This window comes from Homo sapiens, chromosome 11 (assembly GCF_000001405.40).
Source record: "Homo sapiens chromosome 11, GRCh38.p14 Primary Assembly".
NCBI lineage: Eukaryota > Metazoa > Chordata > Mammalia > Primates > Hominidae > Homo > Homo sapiens.
Genome location: NC_000011.10, coordinates 101565273 through 101589630, shown reverse-complemented (window position 1 = coordinate 101589630; position 24358 = coordinate 101565273). Strand labels below are relative to the sequence as shown.

Sequence of the window (24358 nt, the reverse complement as noted above, 5' to 3'; positions counted from 1 at the left end):
GAACTGCTTTGCTGCTTCCCATAATTTAGTAAGTTGTGTTTATATATCATTTGTCTCAATATATTTTTTTATTTTCCCTTTGATTTCTTCTGTGATCCATTGGTTGTTCAGAAGCATGTTTTAAAATTTCCAAATACTTGTGAATTTTCCAGTCTCCTTCCTGTTATTTATTTCTAGTTTCATGCCATTGTGGCCAAGAAAGATACTTGATATTAATCTTTTCTTTTCTTTTCTTTTTTTTTGAGACAGTCTCACTCTGTTGCCCAGGCTGGAGTGCAGTGGCGCGATCTTCTTAAACGTGTTGATTATCTTTGTTTAGTAGGTTTTACAACTTCTTTAATTACATTTGACTTATTAACGCATACCATTTGTGGCAAAAGTACAAGATAGAAATCTCTTATCCAGTTTGATTTATTCCACATTCCTTCACATCTCCCATTGACTTAAGATGTGCTCTTTATCATACCATAAAATCTTTTGTATCCTTTATTCTTTCCATTAAATTCTTTACATATTTCTAGTTTGTGTGTACCAATTTATATTATTTTTGTGGTTTCTTTAAATCATTCGATATTTTTTACACCAAGTTTCTTTCATTGCTTTTCTTTTTTTGGATTTTTCTTTCTTTTAGATATTTATTTTTAGAAATGTGAAAAAATAAATAGTAGAGAAAAACCTGTCCTTCTATAGGAAGACATAAGTATTGAAACTACTACATTCTAACTAAATCTGTAAATTTAATACAAGTATAATGAAACTATCAATAAAATGTGTTATATAATTTGATACAGACCTCTGATTATTTTTCAATTAGGTCTTAGTGAAGATTTATAATTTTCTTTTCATAGGTTTTACAATTCTCTGTTAAATATATTTCTGCTTATATTATATTTTATAGCTTTTATTATATTTTGGCTATTGCTGATATAAAGGAAAACTACTGAATTTTTAATATTTACTTTTATTATCTGGCATTGTACCAAACACATTTCTTACTTCTGAATCTAACTATTTTTAGCTAAAAATCTTGAATTTTTTATAGTAGACTATTATATAGCCTGTGAAGTAATAGATTTATGTCCTCATTTCAAACTTTTTCATCTTATTTTTTATGTTTTATTTTACTTATTGTTGAAGTTCTTAGCTATGAAAAATAGTAATGATAATGACAAACATCTTTGATTTCTTAAATTAATGGAAACATCTCTGGTGTTTCTCCATGTTGTTTTTATCTAAAATAGTTTTCTCTGCCATGTTAAAAATGTGTCTGTTACTCTTAGTTTTCTAAGCTTTTTCTTATTTCCTTTTAAAAAATGAAGAATAGATATTTTATTAACTTTTTGGATCCATGGAGATGATGATTAGTTTTTGAATTTTAGATTTTTTCTTACAGGATCTTAGTGTTCACTTAATTTTCCATAAGTATATTAATTTTCCTTGTAGTATACGTGGAAAATTGAGGTCCAGGTTGTATTTGAACATGTCCAGTGAAAGAAAACAAAAACAAAAACAAAACAAAACAAAAACCAGCAAAAACAAGCCAAAACAAAAAACCAAAAGCAGCTCAGTCCATTCTTGGTATGTCTTCATTTACTAAACTTGGGTGACATTGATGTATAAATCAACAATCTTTTCAATCGTCTTCTAACTATTTATGAATCACTCCTTTGTTACCCAGTTCTTATTTTTCAATCGTGCTGTCAAACATATCACACGATGCTCTTGGTAAACAGTTTACTAAAAATGTCCCAATAATTCCATCAAAAGAGATATTAACATAACTTGTTCTCTAAGTGAAACCATATTAATCACAAGTGCTTACAAAATAACCATATGATAATGTTAGAATTTTGGACAACATCTATGTCAAGCTCAAATTAGAGCAAAAATGAAATTAGCAATCTGTAGATTCTTCTATTTGTTTCTGATGGTTAATAACATTTTAGCTGCAAGACAGATACTAAATGTAAAGTATTATAACCCCTTTATTTTAAAAATTAAGAAATTGAGGTTCAAAGATATAGCAGCACCTGCTCAGATTTTACTCAAACTGGAGTTTGCAGGGCACTTTCATTCATAGAGAATCAGCAGCCCCTCTGAAGCTTCTGAAGTGTTTCTGTTTTCACCCGGTTGATTCTACATGTGATAGGAGTCAGGGCTCAGGGTTTCCATGCTTTAAAATATCCAGATGAAATCACGACTAAACTTTTATCTGTACTTCTGGCCAACCAACCCCAAACTGCATTTTCCAGAGAGACTCCTATGTTAGTGGTTTTCCATCAGCAACAGCAACTCACAAACTGCAGCTTTGTGTAACTTTTGAGCTTCTTGAGTTATTAAGCATTTAATGTTTTCTCAACCTTTTGCTTCTAGTGGCAATTTCTTTTCCTTTCCCTTTGGGCTCCTTGCCTGAGACTTCCTAGAGCAGCGGTTCCCAACCCCCAGGCTATGGACTGCTATCCATCTGTGGCCTATTAGGATCTGGGCCACACAGCAGGAGGTGAGCAGTGGGCAAGCCAGCGAAGCTTCACCTGTATTTAGTATTTACAGCTTTTTCCCATCACTTGCGTTACCGCCTGAGCTTTGCCTCCTGTGAGATCAGCGGAGGCATGAGATTCTCCTAGGAGCATGAACCCTATTGTGAACTGTGCATGTGAGCAATCTAGGTTGTGTGCTCCTTGTAAGAATCTAATGCCTGATGATCTGTCACTGTCTCCCATCACCCCCAGATGGGACCATCTAGTTGCAGGAAAACAAGCTCAGGGATCCTATCAAGTCTACATTATGGTAAGTTGTATAATTATTTCATTATATATAAAACAATGTAATTATAATAGAAATAAAGTGCACAATAAATTTAATGTACTTAAATAGTCTCCAAACCATCCATCCCACCCCACAGGTCCGTGGAAAAATTGTCTTCCACGAAACTAGTCCCTGGTGCCAAAAAAGTTGGGGACCACTGTTCTAGAGGACAACCATTTTTCTTTACTCATTTTTCTCCTATCAGCTTTTCAAAACACTGTGTTATATATATATTATATGTATAATATATATACACATTATATATATTACACACATGTATATATGTAAAATATCTGTTTTTGTAAAATCAAACTAATAATCAAACAGTGCAGATATATATAATGAGGCAAAGGTCCTCTCTCATTAACATCTCTTCCTCTGCCCACAGAGACACATAACTCACCTTCATCCTCACATCTCAGAATTAATGACTGAGTGTTTTTTTATTTCAATAGCATGAACATACTACATAAACATACATAACCTATAATTGCATAGCAATTTCCAACTCTGTGAGAACTATCAGTCCTGTGCTCACCCAACAATTTTTTAACTTTAAAAACTATTGTTTCTTTGTTCACTCAGCTTTCTTCATGACTCCAGATCTACTCAATACTTCCATAGTTGATTCAAAAATTATATTATTTAATCGTATTTTGTCTTTTTAAAAATTGGTTTCACCATGTTTTTAATGTAAAGTGATAAAACTGCATAGATAACTATATAATGTGGGAAGTTAGAGATTGAGGCGTAATTGTATACCAGCTTACTGATGAAAAAACTGAGGCAGAGAGAGATTTAATGACCTCTCTGAAATCATGTAACTTCAGTTAGGGAAGTGGCCGAAATAAAAATCCAGGCTTTGAGACTTCTGATCTAATGATTCCACTTCATCATGTCATAAGCTCTTTCAGAATCTTCTAACATTTGTACACCACCTTATTCCTTCTGGGTACTCAATAAATGACTGGGCTTGTTGTTCTAGTACTCACAATAATTCAAAAAAAAAAAAAAAAACAGAGGAAAACATGTCTTACCACATGATAAATTGATGTCAGAATAAGTTTACTGTAGTAATTTTTTCAGTGTGAAGGTTGTTACCTGTGAATGAAAAACAGTGTAACAACAGCAAAATAAATTCTGTCTCAGTTTTTGTTTTTTTTCTTTTTATGTGAAAGGTTAACACTTCAACTGACACTACAAATGTTTATTAATTTGGCTTTAACTCACAGAATTTGAATTGGGTAGAAAACCTTTGAATATTACTTTTCCCATGAATGTTTTCCCCATACTTGGTGTTGCCAAAGAGATTACCTTGGCACTGTTTAACTAAACGTTTATTGATTAATTCATTCAAGCATCAAAGCTAATGAATACTTACAGATAGCAGTTGCCACAAACAAATTTTAGGAAGAATATCTTATTGCTAGGTATAGTAACTAGAAAATTATAAGAATTTTAAATCATGGCTCCACATGTTGAAAGATCAAAAAGGAAGGCTGTTAAATCAGAAAGAACAGACTTCAGAATGATGCAGGTTGTTTGTTTCCCCAGGGAAAATGTTCTTTCCAGGGCCAAGAGCATTTTCTTATTTTTTCTATATTCCTTCCATCCATCCATCCATCCATCCGTCCATCCATCCATCCATCCACCCACCCACCCACTCACCCACCCAAGCATGCATGCATGCACCCTACACACCTGTGTCAAATACGAAGCTGGATCCTCAGGACACAGTGGTTTCTGCTCTCTCTGAGTTTCAGTTCTAAATTTAAAGGCAAACTCAGAAGTTTCTAAATGTGTGAGCTCTTTTCCCTTCTATCAAATCAATTGCATTTTCCCACACTTCCAACATTCATTTTGTTGTCCACCTGTTCATGGGAAGCAAAGGCACCTTTGCAGACAGATTTCAGTCTGGCTTTCTTTCATCCAATTGCAATGGGCCTCTGATCTTTTCATGGCTGGCTGCTTGCCATGCATGTCTCAACTTAACGAGCACCTCCTTGGAGGGGCCTCTTTTAACCATCTCATCTGAAGTAGTCATTCACCAGCTGCCATCACATCAACCTGTTTTATTTTCATTGTAGCATTTGTCCTTGATATTTTTTCATTTGCTTATTTAATTGGTCCCCCTTTCTGCCACGAAAGCTCTATGAGGGCAGACAGGTGCCTCATCTGCTTCTTTGCCTCCGAATTCTGAAATGATTTGAAACGCAGTTGGCATTCATTAAATATTTGTTGACTTAATGAATGGATTCTTAATTGGCTACTACTGCTTAAAGGTCTACAAATACTGATTCATCCTTGTTGACAAGTTTTTACTTCTCACACGTATGCATATTAATCAGAATTTAAAACTAAGTCTTAAAAATAAAACAGCTTGGAAACGTGGGAAACATCTGGCAGAGAAATCATTCTTGCATTCGCAGTGACGGAAGGAAAATTTTTTCTCTGAAGTAAGCAGGTTGTTGGCCTCTTTATCGGTATCATTGGAAAATGCTTGCCTATTTTTGTTGGTTTTCTCAGGAACTGGGAACATCTGGCGTTTGGAACATAGAACGTTGTTCATTTTTAAAGCAGAGTCATAATAACTTTATGAGTTGAGGGTAAGAGAGAAAATGACCAAAGAAAATGAAGGCAGTCTGGAGAAAGAAGAGGCTCGTGTCCCTTTTAAGGAACAGGTTTCCTTGGCTCTTTGAGAGTGGTTCTTAAAGGAAGCTTCCTACGAAGTCCGCAGTTGGTATCCTTACTAAATGAGCCAACTAAATAGTGGAGGGGAAAAAAAGAGTGCGTGCCTGGCTCCTCCTAGTTCAGGCTCATACCGCCTCCTGAAAGTTGTGGCTACAGGACAGGCTTTGGCTGCTTTCTAGAACGTCGCTCGGATCCCTTTAAAGGTGGGGATCTTGACGGAGAGTGCGGGGGATGAAGGCGGGAGCTGAGGGCTGGAGAGTCTCTGTTGACATAGTAACTCTTCAGCTCCGTCTCCCTTGCTCTCCGCTCTTACGCTTCGCTACCACCAGCGGCCCCGCCTGTGCCCTCTCTGCCCGGGCGCCCCAGACGCATCCTCGCGGGGTCTCCTCGGCCTGACCTGCTCAGGTCAAGATCCTCTTTGCACCCCCTTAAGTGGTGACTTTTCCCCGGGCCAGTGGGCGAGCCACTTGCGGCGGGCGTCTGCACCCCCTGCTTCACCGTCGTCCCCTGGGCACCGGTCTGCCCAGGTCCAGTTCGGCCGCTGACGCGAACCCTCCGCACCGGGTCCCCGCTGGAACTGCCCACTCGGCTCCCCCGGGAGCGGGGCCCAGGCCAGTCGGGCGTTCCCGCCATGAGCCAGAGCCCGGCGTTCGGGCCCCGGAGGGGCAGTTCTCCCCGGGGCGCTGCCGGAGCCGCTGCGCGGCGCAACGAGAGCCAGGACTATCTGCTCATGGACTCGGAGCTGGGAGAAGACGGCTGCCCGCAAGCCCCGCTGCCTTGCTACGGCTACTACCCCTGCTTGTGAGTGCCGGCGACGCGGGGCGGATCGGGCGCGGGCTGCGCGGAGGGAGGTTGTGCGCTCGCAGGAGTGGCCGAGTCCGTCCGCGCGCGTCCTGAACCCGCGTGTGTACCTCCTAGGACGGTGCTGGGAGGTCCGCGAGAGCCAGGGCTGGGACCTGAGTGAGTGGAGGGGCGCGCGGGGAGTGGGGGAGGCGGGGTTGTCTAGGTTTGCTCCTCGTAGGTACGCATGGATATGTTTGCCCACGAGAGTGAGACCGCATAGTAACACCACCATTGCAGGTGATTAGATGGGTGGTCGATTTCTCCAGACCCCTTCATCCTGCGCTCTACAAGAGACAGGATCGCTACGTAACAGGCGGGATCTGAACAGGGGGCTGATTCAGATGTGCGCCCGGGTGACTCTTAGCCTATGTGGGGGAGAGATGACTAGAACTCCAAGGGTTGGAGCTGCCTGGGTGCTGGGTGCGCCCGGCGGTCTCCACGCTTGGCTTAGCGTTTCGGGCTGAGCGCTGAGGTCCTTGGACCGTGGGACAGCCAAAGTTAGACCAGGACCTCTCCCCGGTCCTGGGGCCTTGGAGTGAAGACAGAAATAGAACCAATAGGACTCTCCACCGGCGGCGCGAACCTTTTCACCCGGGGCGTCTGGGGAGACGAGCCTGTTAGGGGCTGGGAGACTCACGGGCTATAGAAGTGAGGGCGTCGGGTCGTTTGTATTGGGCTGTGGGTAACTGCAAGCTTTTGTTTATGAATCTAGGGTATTTTTTTTTTTAGCTGGGTGGGTGGCGGGAGGGGAGGTAGGGAGTAAGCAGAGTGGACTCCAGAAGAAAAGACTCCGCTTCCCCGACACCGCTGTGACCACATGTGCAGCGGGCAGATAGCATTTCTGTCCCATTGCCCCTTTGGGTGATTGGGTAGTCAAGTTTCCTGACTTGTCACATCCACCCGCAAGCGGTTTCCCGAGGTTCTCAGCTCTATAAACAGCTTTAGTTGGAGGGAGGATTCCACCCCATAGGCGCCTGGCAGACCCTCCTGATAGATGGGTGCTGTGTCAGGGCTGCCCAGCCTCAAGCCCTGCTGCGGTGCCCTTTCGAAGTAAGAGGTGAGCCGCAGTAAAGGGAGCATCTAACTTTTCTCAAAGATAAAGGAGAATAGTTAGAACTGGTTTCATTCATCTGTGTGCTGTGCAAGTTAAGAGCATTTACAATTATGTATATGTTTTTCTTTTTAAAAGTTCAAGACATAATTCCCATACCACGTAATTCCCCCATTTAACTTGTACAATGCACTATTTTTAATATATCCATAAAGTTGTACAGCCACCACTAATATCTAATTCCAGGACAATTTCATCATCCCTCAAAGAAATCTTACACTTGATGTGTTAAATTAGAAGATATTTTTATGTCTCATAGTACAGACTTTTCCAACTTTAATGGCTAGCATGCAAATCATGTGGAAATCTTGTTAGAATGCAGATTTTGAGAAGGCAGGTCTTAGGTACAGCCCAAGATTCTCCATTTCTGACATCCCTCAGATGATGACAAGGTTGCTAGTCCGTGGACCACCCTCTGAATAGCAAGGTGATATATGACAAGAAAAAACAAGAATAGAAAGAAAAATAAATAAATCTTGGATATTCTGAAATGCTGCTATTTTAAAATGTACTTTGAAGGTGTAAGTTTAAGACATAGATGGAATTTTTATTGGTTAAACTTGAGATCTCCGATGTCTGAGGGTTATAGGTTTGGCAACATTACCTCCTGGCTAAACTAGGTGACTAAAAATTTATACGGCTTTTTAAAAATTAGACTGTTCCATGAACAAAACCTTTTTTCATTCTGTAATCCATATAATCACTTGTCGCTGTGTCTGTCAAAAAATGATTTGATTAAAAACCTTGTGGTTATATATCAGTAGTGAGAGAGACTAAATAAAGTAATAATTCCAAGTTGTCCTGAAAACTCTTCCCAGTGCTTTCTTCAAATGTGGCTTACTGCCTAATTTGTCTAATTATTGTTATTACATTTTTTAGCTACAAGTTCTCACTATGTTACCCAGGCTGTCCTCAACATGCAGTATTTAGTGAATATTCCCTTAGTTCAAGAATCCTGGACTATTCTTAATAAATAGAACTGAGCAGCAGAGTGATGAACAGAAATATTTTAATGTGCTTCAATTCATAACATCCACCCTCTGCGTGATGTCAGAGGTACTATAATACATGTAAGAGTGAGCCATGCTCTAGAATTTGGGTTTGGTTTTATATGAATCTATTATTTCCAAAAGGTTCTATAGTTACATTTCATCCACTGTTTTCTCTGACAAGATTTTAAGTTTTTCTAGTTGAATAATCAACTAACAGAAAAATTTTAACCAAGAAACAAAAGTACTTCACACCTATGATGTATGAGAAAGAGCTAAAGAAAATTACTCCCTCTGGTAGAGTAGAAATCAACTCTTCCATATGCTTTTGACTTGTGATTTATACAATTTCATAGTGGGAGGTGTATCATTTCTGAAAGTGGCAATCACTAGTACATTTTAGATATGAATATTGCCATTTCTCAAATCATTGAGATTTTCCCTTATAAGATCCCAAGTCTTTGTAAGTTGTCATTTCTGTGGAATAAATTCTATGACTCTTGCCAAAAATTTCTGTTTCATAGTTTTCTTATTTAGAAAAATTTTTTACATATATTTATGGGGCTTCAGTAGTAATGGGGCTTCAGTAGTAATGGGGCTTCAGTTTTTATTTATATTTATGGGGCTTCAGTTTTCAGTAGTAAAACTGAAAATTATGGTAAATTATCTTATTTGTGAGCAATTATGTGCAATAAGGCCTTAATAGTTAAATAAGGCCTTAATAGTTAAAATAGTAATAAATTGAAATGGTGTTCAGAAGAAAATGGCTCAGATTTTCTCTTTATTCAACTTTCAATAGCAAATCAATTAATATTCTCTATTGTGATCAATTTGTAATGGTGATTAGCAAGAAAGGCCCATGTCCTGCCAAGGTCCCAGGAGGCATTTCAGATTTCCTTTATTTAGAACTTTAAAGGTATGTTTACAGTTCATCACTGCTGAACTTGGGGAAGAATCCCAGACATTTAAAAAAGTTAAGCATTTCTAAAATCTCAGGATCTGAAAACACAGTCCAACTAAACTTTCTGCTTGGGAAGGAGTAATTGATTGATTATGAATAATGAAACAGTAAACTGTAAACTAAAGCACTGGCAATTCAGCTGACTGAGACAATCTGAAAAATTTATGGTTACAGACACCTGGCAGTACTGGATAAAAGATTTTAAATGATTTTAAAACATCTCCCAATTTTGTGAAAAATAAAAGGGTAATCTACCATGTGCTAAGAACAAAGACATTAAAAGCGAGTATAGATTGTGAAGTGATGATGTGGTTGCCCTGTGAGTTATGCGTCCCAGTGACGAAGAAGCCTGGAATCTGATGTCCATATGAGACAGAAAGAAGGTAAACTCTTGGTGCCAGATGAGGCAGAGAGCTGGAACTGAGATACCCCTGTGCCCTGCATAAAGCCATTAAATAAAAATGTAGGCTAGAAATATATGCCCACCAGCATACAGTGAGAACAGGAAACTTTAACAGTAAGAAGAAAAGAACACTCCCCTTGAGAATATCGTTTTTGGGGTTTTTGTTTTTATACCCTACCTAACTAGCCTAGAAATAGTCAACATGGAAAATACTCCTGAGGTTCCTATAAGAGTAAAACACAAAATCATTATGAAAGACTAGTATCAAGCATCTAGATTGCCTAGGCTTTTCAAGAAGAAAGCAAGTCCTGCTAAAGATATGCTTGCTATAATGAATAACAAAACACACAAGGAAACAATCGACCAAGAGTGAGAGTCAGTGGACCATGGACTCAATCGACCATGAGTGAGTAGATATAAGACATGCAGTAGTTAGTGGATTTTTTAAAAAGTTGAGATAATACAACCACATGAAAAAGAATCTTTAAAAGTACATATAAATGTTGACAATATAAAAGAATAAATCAAACCTTAAGAAAAAAATGACATTTTTAAAGAAAAGGACAAATAGAACATCTATAAGTAAAAAATACAATTCTTAAAAAAAATTAATGGAAGGGCTAAATGCAGATTAGAACATAATTGATGATAATACCCAAAATGCAGAGACATAAAAAATATTTTGTATGAACATCGTTAAGAGTAATGGAGCTAGAAGGTAAGAGTTCCAGGAAAAGAAAACATATAGAAGTGGGAGAGGCAAGACTTGAATAGATAATGGGTAAGGATTTTCCAGAAATAATGAATTTTCATGTTTATGAAGTATACCAATATTATTGTAAAACAGAAAAAAAACCCCATTTAAACATATCATTTAAATTGCAGAACACCAAAGACAAGAGGAAATACTAAAAATTAAAGAAAACAGAGATTTGAATGAGAGAGTTTTAAAATTCAAAGTATTTACAGTGGAAATGCACTCATAATATATTTTGATATTACCTTGGTTAAAGAATGTATAGCTTGTAAGAACTATGGCTTTTCCATTACATAAAAGGTTTACTCTCTTGTTATTAATGGAGTCAGTGCTCCATTGCTGATAAGGTCTCCGATGGATATGTACTAAATATTTTTAAAAGGTGACTTATTGCATCACAGTCTTAGAGGAAACTCAAAGTGATTCTTAATTATATCCTCTCACATGAAAAAAACAAAAAATGACTTTTAAAAAATGGGTCACAGATCCTTTAAAATTTTTATTGACTTCAAGAGGGTTTTGGGTGACCTGAACCCCATTTATGAAAATAAGATCCAGAGTTTGAATTCCCAGTTTAAGAAAGGTAATGTAATGTTAGAGACCACAAGTAAAATCCCCCACATATTGTTTTCTTTTCTCCAGGCAAAAAAAGTTAGTATTGAACACATTGATAATAAGGGAATGAAAAATTCAGACTGTAGGCTAGAGAATCTTTCCTGATATTACTTGCCAATAGGATAACTAGTCTCTTAAAGAAGTTTAAGATTGAAGAACATGGACTCAGGCCTATGCATCATATTAAATTATTATATCCTTGTTATCTCTCCCTTGTTTTTGGCAACTATGTTCATTGAAACATCTGTTACACATTTTTACATTTATTTGTTCACACGTCCTTTTCCTCTGACTAGAATGTAAGCCACAAGAAGTGGGTCTGTCCTTCATCCCCCTATCTTAACACAGTGCCTAGCAGAGAGAAGGTACCATTTAATCTATTCCTCAACAAAGAGATTTCCTCCTCCTTGATATTTATTCAAATAAGGAATAAAATGATGCCAGCTACTTTAATGAAATAGCATCTGGATCAGCTAAGTTGGGCAGAAGAGTGAATGTCCATATCAAAAGAGATACCTATATCTTGTATTCCAGCTGCCTGTCACAAAGACTCATCTTTCAGGGAATCTTTCACCAATCACTACTGCCACCAGCATACTACTCTTCTTTTAGCTCTCTAGCCTGAGGCTCTTCCGTTAAAGTTCCCTCTGCACACCTGAGGCGAGGCTATATCTTTACCAAAGAGAATTAATAAAAAGGGAAAAACTCCTGGCTGGCTATAACTGCTCTTCCAGCTCATTTATGGAGTCTCCTGGGGATTGACCCTTGCCTGGCCCCAAGCATTATCTATCTGGCAGCGAGCGTTCTTGTTTTCCCTCTGCAGACCGTCCTCAATCAATCTAGTCCTTTGTCCTAGCCCAGACTGAAGAATGACTGCCTCCCCACCTCCCGCCACAACCTTTTTCTTTGGTGTAATATCTATTTTCCAAACTTTATTTCTTTTTAAAATTCTCCTTCTTTCCTAGATGATTGACATTAGATATGTCTACTCCTTTAAGCAAAGATACCACCACTGACCTACAGAAGTGTGGCTTTACTCTCTGACCCCAAAGGGGCAGTCACATCAGAACATGACAGTCCAGCAGCAGTACGAGGTATTTCCAAATAAAATTAAAGGGCTGATTTTCTTAACAAGACATATTTATTGAATGGTAAGTGAAATCAATAAAAGAGAACATGTGCGACACAATGATTTCTTATACATATGTAGTGGTCTAGAACGCAGAAAGAATCCTATAATCTAGTATACCCTTTGAAATGGCATCTATAACCATAAAGCCAAGACCTAGACTTTGGTGAAAGATTGCAGTGTGGAAGCTTGCTCTTCCAGGGGAAAAGCACGTGTAAAAACCACCTTCAAATCTGGCTCCCCTTCTATTAGGAGTAATCGTCTCCCCCAACCACTTGGATTAATGGTGGGTCTCATAGCTGATGACTTTGAAGCTCTGTATTCTGCATGGAAATGACCTGTTTTGTGTTGAAACCTCCCCTGGCTTGAAGTAATCAACTCTACTGGTAACATATTATTATCGTGAAGCATTTTTAGGGTGCCAGCATTGTAGGTTGTGGAATGATTGCCAGATGTGCTTAAAAGTCCACATTTATTCTGTAACAAAATGTTTGCCTCCAGGAAGACATTGCATAATTTTTTTTCTCTAGACAGTTTATGCTCCTTGAGTTGTAAGAAGTAACTTCATAAGGCAATTCATCTTAAAGAGGGTAAAAGTCATAAAAGGAAAACATTTTCTTGAGTCCATTCTTATTTTTCTCCCTCTTTCATAAAAAATGCCAAATATAATTGGTTCCAGTTGGATAAAATTACCATGTGTGTGATTGCTCTTTGTTTAGGAATCTTCTGATGGCTTTCAATACATGCAGAAGTGTTCATCCATATGCCAAGTTTCAATTAAACTTTGGCATCTAAAATTTGGTATGCTGCTCAAGAGGCTTTAAGCCATTGGAACTGACTGAATCACAGTTCTTATAGAATCTCTGTTTAGAGCAGAATACAGAAATGAGTGTTACACATACTCAAACAACCTATATGATTGCAGCATAACTGTTCTCCACCTAATTCAGCTCTCAGCCATGACAAAGAGGAGAAATGATGTTAACTAGAATTACATACAGTTTAATGTAAGTTGCTGTTTCTGTGGAGGACTAATCCAAAATATTTATATATATTTGGGGCAACTAACATTTTTTGAATACCTATTCTGTAGCAGGTTCTTTTCTAGTTGTCATACAAATGTAATTTGATCTTCAGAGCATCTACTCAGCTATTTTTAGCATCCGTTTTATAAAGAACAATGCTGAAATTTAGAAATGTTAAACAATGTGCAGTAAGTTACACAGCCAGTAGGTTGTTGTCAAGTGGGCAAAACCCAATATATTTGGGGCTGGAACACGTGGACCATGGGGCTGGCAGATTCTCTCAGTATCCCATATCTCAGTCCTCTATTCTCTCAGTATTCAGCCAGGCACAGCTGGATACAGGTGGATTATGCTCTTCAAAAGCGCACTCACCCCCATTCCTTCTCTTCTCCCTTTTCATAGGAATTTGGAAAGCCACACGTTGGCTCTGATCTACTGAACCAACATTCCTTGTGCTGTGCTCATTATATCTAAGTTATATCCTGGGTACGGATAGAAGACTGGAAGAAAAGGGCATAAATAGCAGTAATAAGTATGTTTAACCCCCACTTTCTCTTTCTGTTGAAATCTTAGCCATCTTTGGAGGTCAAGCTTTATATCTCACTTCTTTCATTAATTCATTAATCTATTTATTCATTCATCTCTGTTGATTTTATATGATTATGTCCAGCAAGAATAGAAATAATAGCTAGATTTATTAGCGACTTCTGTGTGCTAGGCCCTTCTCCAAGTGCTTTGTAGGTATTAACTCATTTAATCCGTATCACAAACCTATGAGATATGCATTTTTATAATCCTCACTTTACTGATAAGAAAAAAGAATGACAGTAAAAAGAAGGTAGGTGACTTGCCAAATGCTACACAGCTAGCAGTTGGCACAAATGGGAAGAAAGAAAGGGAAGAGCAAAGGATTTTGTTTTATCTCTTATTTCAATAAAGAGTGAAACTAGGTTTTGAAAAATTGCCAGTCTTTGTCACCAAAGGAAGACTATGAATGTTAACAAAATTGTGTCGATTGCTAATGTTACCAAAGATCCACAAACTGATCATGACTAAAGATTGCAAAAGGCAAGGCTTTCTTTTACTTTTCATTGCCATCATGTGGATAAAACTGCTTCTATGCTATAATGCAGGTTGTTTTAGAGACATTGACTCACATGACAGTGTGAAACTGGGGATTTAACCACAAGATTTGCATAATTTTTAAAGCATTTACATGGTATTCGTCTAAAAATATAAGTTGCCAGGAATCAATTACAGTGTGGATAGTCATGTTAAGATTGACTGCCTATTCAAAGCAGAGTTCATGTTTCCATTGCACCAGCTTTGGTTTGTGATACAAAAAGCATTTTGTCCTGACTTGTAGTAGCACAAAACCTTCACAAAAAAAAGAAAAAACAAAAAAACTAGGAAGAGTTCTTTTCATGGGAATCGCTAATAAAATTATCTTGAGAGTTAGGAGTCAAAATAAGAATTAGAAATGGCAATTTCTAAAGGTAACTTAAAAATTCTTTTAGGGAGCTAAACTGTTACAGATAAAAATCATTTTTGTTATTACTGAGTTAGCCTTCTTGAAACAGAATTTTGTATAGAGTAGATTGAAGGGTGGCAGAAGCAGCTATAAAAAGCTGATCCTGGGCAGTAAGAAAATCCCCACACTTAACCTAGGGGAGGGATTTCTGCAGGAACCCTTTTCTTGGAGGGGCATTCAGGGCCAGACACTGTATTCCATCTGGAAAGATTCTTAATTTATTTCAACAAACATTTGTTTAAGTTCCTTTGGTATGTTAGGCACCATTTTAGGGTAACCAATGAATACCATATAGCATGAAGTCTAAGCTTCTATCAATTGTAACCTGCTCTGACATTTTATGTATCTTTAAGAAATAAGCAAAAAGAAGTGTTATCAGTTAAATTATATCTTAGATTTTTATTTTATACCTCTTAAAACAGTTCTTTATACTCAATTAGATATAGATTTGGATCATATATAACTCTTATGCACATAATTAAAAAATAAACAAATTTGTTATGGTATTCCTAAGTTCCTTCACATTTGGGGATGGAGTCTTCAGAATCACTTTTCAACTCAGAAGCTTCAGTGCCCATATTTTTCCACAGGATTGTGCTCTGTGCCAAAAGGACATTGGTGATGAAGGATTTCTTTAAAACAATCTAAAGAATCCATAATAGACCAAAAGCTTTTGGTGCTAGACAATTAAACTGAGTTTGCAATTACATAGAGGTAGACTGTTTTGAGTAACAGTTCCAGAATGTTGCTAAACAAATCTGATTCAACACTGTTCCTTACGTACTCTCCACCCTTCTCAACACACACACACATACACACACACACACACACACACACACACACACACACGTATTTGTTTCTTAGGCTTGAAAGGAGCTTCACTACTGTTCCCAGGATTTTTTTCAAACCATGCCATTCATTCTGAAACTCTGGATGCCATTGTTATTAATGTTGGCACATGCACTGATGATGAAAACTATGTCACGGTAATGACTGACACTTGACTGACAGCGATTGCAAGAAGGCTTGGATTATAAGACATGTTGTATGTAGAAAAGTTAAAATGGGAGAAATATGTGTCTTACACTCAATGAAATATGATGTTCAGTGGGCTAGAGTTACTGTAAATGAGAAAGAAGAGGAAACATGAAAGATTACAAGGCAAACAGTATTGTTTATGATCTGTCCAAAAGCTAAGAAGTTTGGATTTTATTCTCTAGCTAACTTGAAAACACAGATAAGACTATGCCAGGCCCTAGCTTTATTTACATTAGCTTATTTGATCCTCACAACAAACCTGTGTGGTTGGTAATATTATTTCTACTTGTAAATGCAGAAAAAGAAGTTCAGAAAGGTAAAATAATTTGCCAAAGAATTAATGGTTCTTAAGTATCTCAGCCAGGATTTGGGTTCATATTTGACTGTTTTGTTTATTTGCTTGTTTGCTTTTACCTTTACTGTTCTACGCTTCCTCTGAAGTAGAATACCAGTTCGATGAGGAAAGGAGGTACTCTGTAAAAAAATGACTCGCATCTGGTAGGGACTCAAGAAATATTTGTGAAATGAATAAATTAATGCCTGCCTTATACAAAATGATTTCAGTGTATTGGCCTTATCTCTACAATTCTTTCCTCTATGGACGTCATACTGTATCACTAGATTTTGCCTTTAGGGTATCAAGTTTTCATCTTAGCATTTTTAGAAATACCTTATTGGAGTTTTATATTCTTGGAGCTTAGGTCATTTGATGAGTTTTTTTTTTAATTATACTTTAAGTTCTGGGGTACATGTGCAGAACGTGCAGGTTTGTTACATAGGTATACACATGCCATGGTGGTTTGCTGTAGCCATCAACCCGTCATCTACATTAGGTATTTCTCCTAATGCTATCCGTCCCATAGCCCCTCACCCCCTGAAAGGCCCCAGTGTGTGAAGTTCCCCTGCCTGTGTCCATATGTTCTCCTTATTAATCTCCCACTTATGAGTGAGAACATGCGGTGTTTGGTTTTCGGTTCTTGTGTTAGTTTGCTGAGAGTGATGGTTTCCAACTTCATCCATGTCCCTACAAAGGACATGAACTCATCCTTTTTTATGGCTGCATAGTATTCCATGGTGTATATGTGCCACATTTTCTTTATCCAGTCTATAATTGATGGGCATTTGGGTCAGTTCTATGTCTTTGCTATTGTGAACAGTGCTGCAATAAACATATGTGTGCATGTGTCTTTATAGCAGAATGATTTATAATCCTTTGGGTATATACCCAGTAATGGGACTGCTGGGTCAAATGGTATTTCTAGTTCTAGACACTTGAGGATTGCCACACTGTCTTCCACAATGGTTGAACTAGTTTACACTCCCACCAACAGTGTAAAAGTGTTCCTATTTCTCCACATCCTCTCCAGCATCTGTTGTTTCCAGACTTTTTAATGATCACCATTATAACAAGCATGAGATGGTTTTAATTTGTGGTTTTGATTTGAATTTCTCTAATGAGTTTTTTTTTCATATGTTTGTTGGCTACAAAAATGTCTTCTTTTGAGAAGTGTCTGTTCATATCCTTTGCCCACTTTTTGATGGGGTTGTTTGTTTTTTTCTTGTAAATTTGCTTAAGTTCTTTGTAGAGTCTGGATATTAGCCCTTTGTCAGATGGATAGATTGCAAAAAATTTCTCCCATTCTGTAGGTTGCCTATTCAATCTGATGATAGTTTCTTTTGCTGTGCAGAAGCTCTTTAGTTTAATTAGATCCCATTTGTCAATTTTGGCTTTTGTTGCCATTGCTTTTCATGTTGTAGTCTTGAAGTCCTTGCCCATGCCTATGTCCCGAATGGTATTGCCTAGGTTTTCTTCTAGGGTTTTTATGGTTTTAGGTCTTATGTTTAAGTCTTTAATCAATCTTGAATTAATTTTTGTAGAAGGTGTAAGGAAGGGATCCAGTTTCAGTTTTCTGCATATGGCTAGCCAGTTTTCCCAACACCATTTATTAAATAGGGAATCCTTTCCCCATTTCTTGTTTTTGCCAGGTTTGTCAAAGATCAGATGGTTGTAGATGTGTGGTGCTATTTCTGAGGCCTCTGTTCTGTTCTGTTGGTCTGTATATCTGTTTTGGTACCAGTACCATGCTGTTTTGGTTACTGTAGCCTTGTAGTATAGTTTGAAGTCAGGTAGCGTGATGCCTCCAGCTTGGTTCTTTTTGCTTAGGATTGTCTTGGCTATGTGGGCTCTTTTTTGGTTCCATATGAAGTTTAAATTAGTTTTTTCCAATTCTGTGAAGAAAGTCAATGGTAATTTGATGGGGATAGCATTGAATCTATGAATTACTTTGGGTAGTATGGCCATTTTCACAATATTGATTCTTTCTGTCCATGAGCATGGAATGTTTTTCCTTTTGCTTGTGTCCTCTATTTTTCCTTGAGCAGTGGTTTGTAGTTCTCCTTGAAGAGGTCTTTCACATCCCTTGCAAGTTGGATTCCTAGGTATTTTATTCTTTTTGTAGCAATTGTGAATGGGAGTTCACTCATGATTTGGCTGTCTGTTTGTCTGTTATTGGTGTATAGGAATGCTTGTGATTTTTGCACATTGACTTTGTATCCTGAGACTTTGCTGAAGTTGCTTATCAGCTTAAGGAGATTTTGGGCTGAGACAATGGGGTTTTCTAAATATACAATCATGTCATCTGCAAACAGAGACAATTTGACTTCCTGTTTTCAAAATTGAATACGCTTTATTTCTTTGTCTTGCCTGAATCCCCTGGCCAGAACTTCCAATACTATGTTGAATAGGAGTGGTGAGAGAGGGCATCCTTGTCTTGTGCCAGCTTTCAAAGGGAATGTTTCCAGCTTTTGCCCATTCAGTATGATATTGGCTGTGGGTCTGTCATAAATAGCTCTTATTATTTTGAGATACATTCAATCAATGCCTAGTTTGAGAGTTTTTATCATGAAGGGCTGTTGCATTTTGTCAAACACCTTTTCTGCATCTATTGAGATCATCACATGGTTTTTGTCATTGGTTTTATTTATGTGATGGATTACATTTATTGATTTGTGTATGTTGAACCAGCCTTGCATCCCAGAGATGACGCCAACTGGATCATAGTGGATAAGCTTTTTGATGTGCTGCTGGATTTGGTTTGCCAATATTTTATTGAGGATTTTCGGATCAATGTTCATCAGAGATATTGGCCTGAAATTTTCTTTTTTGTTGTATCTCTGCCAGGTGTTGGTATCAGGATGATGCTGACCTCATGAAATGAGTTATGGAGGATTCTGTCTTTTTCTACTGTTTGGAATAGTTTCAGAAGAAATGGTACCAGCTCCTCTTTGTACTTCTGGTAGAATTTGGCTGTAAATCCGTCTGGTTCTGGACTCTATTTGGTTGGTAGGCTAATAATTGCTTCCTTATTTTCAGAACTTGTTATTGGTCTATTCAGGGATTTGACCTCTACCTGGATTAGTCTTGGGAGGGTGTATGTGTCCAGGAGCTTATCCATTTATTCTAGATTTTCTACTTTATTTGCATAGAGGTGTTTATAGTATTCTCTGATGGTAGTTTGTATTTCTGTGGGATCGGTGGTAATATCCCCTTTATCATTTTTTATTCCATCTATTTGATTCTTCTCTCTTTTCTTCTTTATTAATCTGGTTAGTGGTCTATCTAGTTTGTTGATCTTTACAAAAAGCCAGTTCCTGGATTCATTGAATTTTTTTGAAGGGTTTTTTGTGTCTCTATCTCCTTCAGTTGTGCTCTGATCTTACTTATTTCTTGTCTTCTGCTAGCTTATTGAGTTTGTTTGCTCTTGTTTCTCTAGTTCTTTTAATTATGATGTTCGGGTGTCAATTTTAGATCTCTTATGCTTTTTCTTGTGGGCATTTAGTGGTATAAATTTCCCTCTAAACACTGATTCAGCTGCATCCCAGAGATTCTGGTACATTGTGTCTTTGTTCTTGTTGGTTTCAAAGAACATCTTTATTTTTGCCTTAATTTTGTTATTTACACAGTAGTCATTCAGGAGCAGGTTGTTCAGTTTCTATGTAGTTGTGTGGTTTTGAGTGAGTTTCTTAATCCTGAGTTCTAATTTGATTGCGCTGTGGTCTGAGAGACTTGTTTGTTATGATTTCCATTCTTTTGCATTTGCTGAGGAGTGTTTTACTTCCAATTATGTGGCCAATTTTAGAATAAGTTTGATGTGGTGCTGAGAAGAATGTATATTCTGTTGATTTGGGGTGGAGAGTTCTGTAGATGTCTATTAGGTCTGATTGGTCCAGAGCTGAGTTCAAGTCCTGGATATCCTTGTTAATTTTTTGTCTCTTTGATCTCTCTAATATTGACAGTGGGGTGTTAAAGTCTCCCACTATCATTGTGTACAAGTCTAAGTCTCTTTGTAGGTCTCTAAGAACTTGCTTTATGAATCTGGGTGCTCCTGTATTGGGTGCACATATATTTAAGATAGGTAGCTCTTCTTGTTGCATTGATCCGTTTATCATCATGTAATGGCCTTCTTTGTTTCATTTGATCTTTGTTGGTTTAAAGTCTGTTTTTTCAGAGGCTAGGACTGCAACCCCTGCTTTTTTTTTTTTTGCTTTCCATTTGCTTAGTAAATATTCCTCCATCCCTTTATTTTGAGCTTATGTGTGTGTCTTTGCATGTGAGATGGGTCTCCTGAATACAGCACACTGATGTGTCTTGACTCTTCATCCAACTTGCCATTCTGTGTCTTTTAATTGGGGCATTTAGCCTGTTTACATTTAAGGTCAATATTGTTATGTGTGAATTTCATCCTGCCATTATGATGTTAGCTGGTTATTTTGCCCATTAGTTGCAGTTTCTTCTTAGCGTTGATGGCCTTTACAATTTGGTATGTTTTTGCAGTGGCTTGTATCGGTTGTTTCTTTCCATGTTGAGTGTTTCCTTCAGGAGCTCTTATAAGGCAGGCCTGGTGGTGACACAATCTCTCAGCATTTGCTGGTCTGTAAAGGATTTTATTTGCCCTTCGCTTATGAAGCTTAGTTTGGCTGGATATGAAATTCTGGTTTGAAAATTGTTTGTTTAAGAATGTTGAATATTGGCCCCTCCTCTCTCCTAGCTTGTAGGGTTTCTGCCAAGAGATTCGCTGTTAGTCTGATGGGCTTCCCTATGTGGGTAACCCAGTCTTTTCTCTCTGCCTGCCCTTAACATTTTTTCCTTCATTTCACCCTTGGTGAATCTGACGATTATGTGTCTTGGTGTTGCTATTCTTGAGGAATACCTTTGTGGTATTCTCTGTATTTCCTGAATTTGAATGTTGGCCTGCCTTGCTAGGTTGGGGAAGTTCTCCTGGATAATATTCTGAAGAATGTTTTCCAACTTGGTTCCATTCTTCCCATCACTTTCAGGTACACCAATCAAACATAGATTTGGTCTTTTCACATAGTCCCATATTTCTTGGAGGCTTTGTTCGTTTATTTTCACTCTTTTTTCTCTAATCTTGTCTTCATGCTTTATTTCGAGTTGATCTTCTGATACAGTTTCTTCCACTTGATCAATTTGGCATGTATGATACTTGTGCATGCTTCACGAAGTTCTCGTGCTGTGTTTTTCAGCTCCATCAGGTCATTTATGTTCTTCTCTAAACTGGTTATTCTAGTTAGCAATTCTTCTAGCCTTTTTTCAAGGTTCTTAGCTTCCTTGCATTGGCTTAGAACATACTCCTTTAGGTCTGAGGAGTTTGTTATTACCCACCTTCTGAAGCCTATTTCTGTCAGTTCGTCAAACTCATTCTCCATCTAGTTTTGTTCCCTTGCTGGTGAGGAGTTGTGATCCTTTGGAGGAGAAGAGGCATTCTGGTTTTTGGAATTTTCAGCCTTTTGCGCTGGTTTCTCCCCATCTTTGTGGATTTATCTACCTTTTGTATTTGAAGTCCATGACCTTTGGAAGGGGTCTGTGAGTGGATGTCCTTTTTGTTGATTTTAATACTATTCCTTTCTGTTTGTTAGTTTTACTTCTAACAGTCAGGCCCCTCCGCTGCAGGTTTGCTGGAATGTGCTGGAGGTCCACTCCAGACCCTGTTTGCCTGGGTTATCACCAGCGGAGGCTGCAGAATAGCCCAGATTGCTGCCTGTTCCTTCCTCTGGAAGCTTCATCCCAGAGGGGCACCCACCAGATGCCAGCCAGAGCTCTCCTGTTTGAGGTGTCTGTTGGCCCCTACTGGGAAGTGTCTCCCAGTCAGGATACACGGGGTTCAGGGAACCACTTGCGGAGATAGTCTGTCCCTTATCAGAGCTCGAACACTGTGCTGGGAGATCCACTGCTCTCTTCAGAGCTGCCTGGCAGGGACGTTTAAGTCTGCTGAAGCTGTGCCTACAACCACCCCTTCCCCCAGATGCTCTGTCCCAGGGAGTGGGGGTTTCTAAGTTCCTGACTAGGGCTGCTGCTTTTTTTTTTCAGAGATGCCCTGCCCAGGGAGGAGGGAATCTAGAGAGGCAGTCTGGCCTGAGGGGCTTTGCTGAGCTGTGGTGGGCTACGCCCATTTGGAACTTCCCCAGGGCTTTGTTTATACTGTGAGGATAAAACCGCCCCCTCAAGCCTCAGCAATAGCGGACGCCCCTCCCCCCACCTAGCTAGAGTGACCCAGGTGATCTCAGACTGCTGTGTTGGCCAGGAGAATTTCAAGCCTGAGGATCTGAGCTTGCTGGGATCCATGGGGGTTGGACCCCCCCCACCCCGCCCCGAGCCAGACTTCAGCCCCCTTTCCAGGGGAGTGAATGGTTCTGTCTCACTGGCGTTCCAGGTGCCACTGGGGTATGGAAAAAAACTCCCGTGGCTAGCTTGGTGTCTGCTCCAAGGGCCACCCAGTTTTGTGCTGGAAACCCAGGGCCCTGGTGGTATAGGCACCCTAGGGAATCTCCTGGTCTGCGGGTTGCCAGGACTGTGGGAAAAGCCCAGTATCTGGGCTGGAGTGCACGGTACAGTCCCTAATGGCTTTCCTTGGCTAGGAGAGGGAGTTCCCCGACCCCTTGCACTTCCCGGGTGAGGTGATGCCCCACCCTGCTTTGGCTGGCCCTCCTTGTGTTGCACCCACTGTCCAACCTGTCCCAGTGAGATGAAGTGGGTACCTCATTGGAAATGCAGAAATTACCTGCCTTCTGCGTCTATCTCGCTGGGAGCTGCAGACCGGAGCTGTTCCTACTGGGTCATCTTGCCAGCAACCTTGATGAGTAATAAGACCTGGGTGATATATTCTTGATCTCTAAAATGGTGCTTGTTAAATATTTTTTAACAATCCTACAAACAAGATATGTAAATAAACATTTTTTCTTTTCATGTTGATAGAATACCTATGGGGATACATCTTTTTTGTTTTTATTTTAATAACAAGAGGAAAGGGGTATAAATTTTTATTTAAGTTGAAAGAATTTGTGAAAACTAAACTTCCTGAGACCAAAGCTCATTATCTCCAGAAAAAAAATCTTAAATACTGAAATGAAGAAATCCAACTTAAAATCAAGAAAGTTAGAAAAGAATGGGTAAGTAAAGAATGGTCTAAAAGTTACACATTATTGATAATATAATTTTGATTTGTACCATGTTGTGCCTGGGCAAAACTTACAAAGTGATTTAGTTGATTTTTATTGTAACCTGTCTTCTAGAAATGAGGTCAATCATTTTCAGATTAGATTACAATATACCCCATATACCCAAAGTGGCTTAGAAATTATCCTCATGTCACTTCTTACCTGCAAGAATCTAATAACCATTTACTAGAAACTTATGGCGAAAGATATTACTGAAGAAAGAGTGCTGTGCATTAAATGAACATAGAGAAAATATTAGTAAGTCCTTGTCTAAACATGTACACTGGATGATGGGGATTAAAAAATGTTTTAATTAGTGGTTTTCACATCTCGTTATGTTTCTGAATCACTGAAATGATTTTTAAAAATATAGTTTCCCTATGAAACAGTTACTGTGTATTTATCCAAGAACAAACATATGAGATTAAAAAATTATGCTATTTAGGGTACAATGATCAGGTATTGTCAAATAAATTAGAAAATAGTACATTCTAATTTAGCAAGTTTTCATCAAATACCTATTATATACAAGGTGCTATTCTTAATATATTTTAGGGGCAGAAATGATGGGTCTATATGATATGCTTGATAAGATGTCAGGAGAGTAATGTCAGAGAGTTGTTTTTTGAGAAAGTATATTAAAAAAATTCCCCTTCCAGTTTGTTTCTTAAAGAACAGCCTGTTGCAAAATTTTATATTGGAATTACAGGATAAAAGAATTTCTCAGAATTTTATTTTTATCTTAATGTTGACTTTCTTCCTCATTTGGATTCTCAGTGTAAACTTCAAGTCTGTAATTTCAGGAAGTATTGAGGAAATTTGTCCTTTTTAAAATCACCCAAGATTTTTAGGGTAAAATTTCCCCAAAGGATGAACATTTTGCTATTAACTAAACTCATTATCACTTAGGTTGGTTTCTTCTTTTTCTGAATATTATGTAGTTTT

The 24358-nt window shown here is 38.4% G+C and overlaps 1 protein-coding gene across 5 annotated transcripts in view; it reads left to right on the top strand.

The window, feature by feature from the left end:
* TRPC6 (transient receptor potential cation channel subfamily C member 6) overlaps positions 5624 to 24358 on the top strand; it is a 132444-nt gene continuing 113709 nt past the window's right edge. For 3 of the 5 annotated variants that reach the window (NM_001439335.1, NM_004621.6, XM_047427510.1), the window contains exon 1: positions 5624 to 6297. In NM_001439335.1, coding sequence (NP_001426264.1) covers positions 6128 to 6297 — 170 coding nt within the window. In that variant the 5' untranslated portion in view covers positions 5624 to 6127. Of the gene's footprint in view, positions 6298 to 6363; positions 6457 to 24358 lie in introns of those variants that run through there. The other 2 variants (XM_047427509.1, XM_047427511.1) reach the window with 2 other exon arrangements.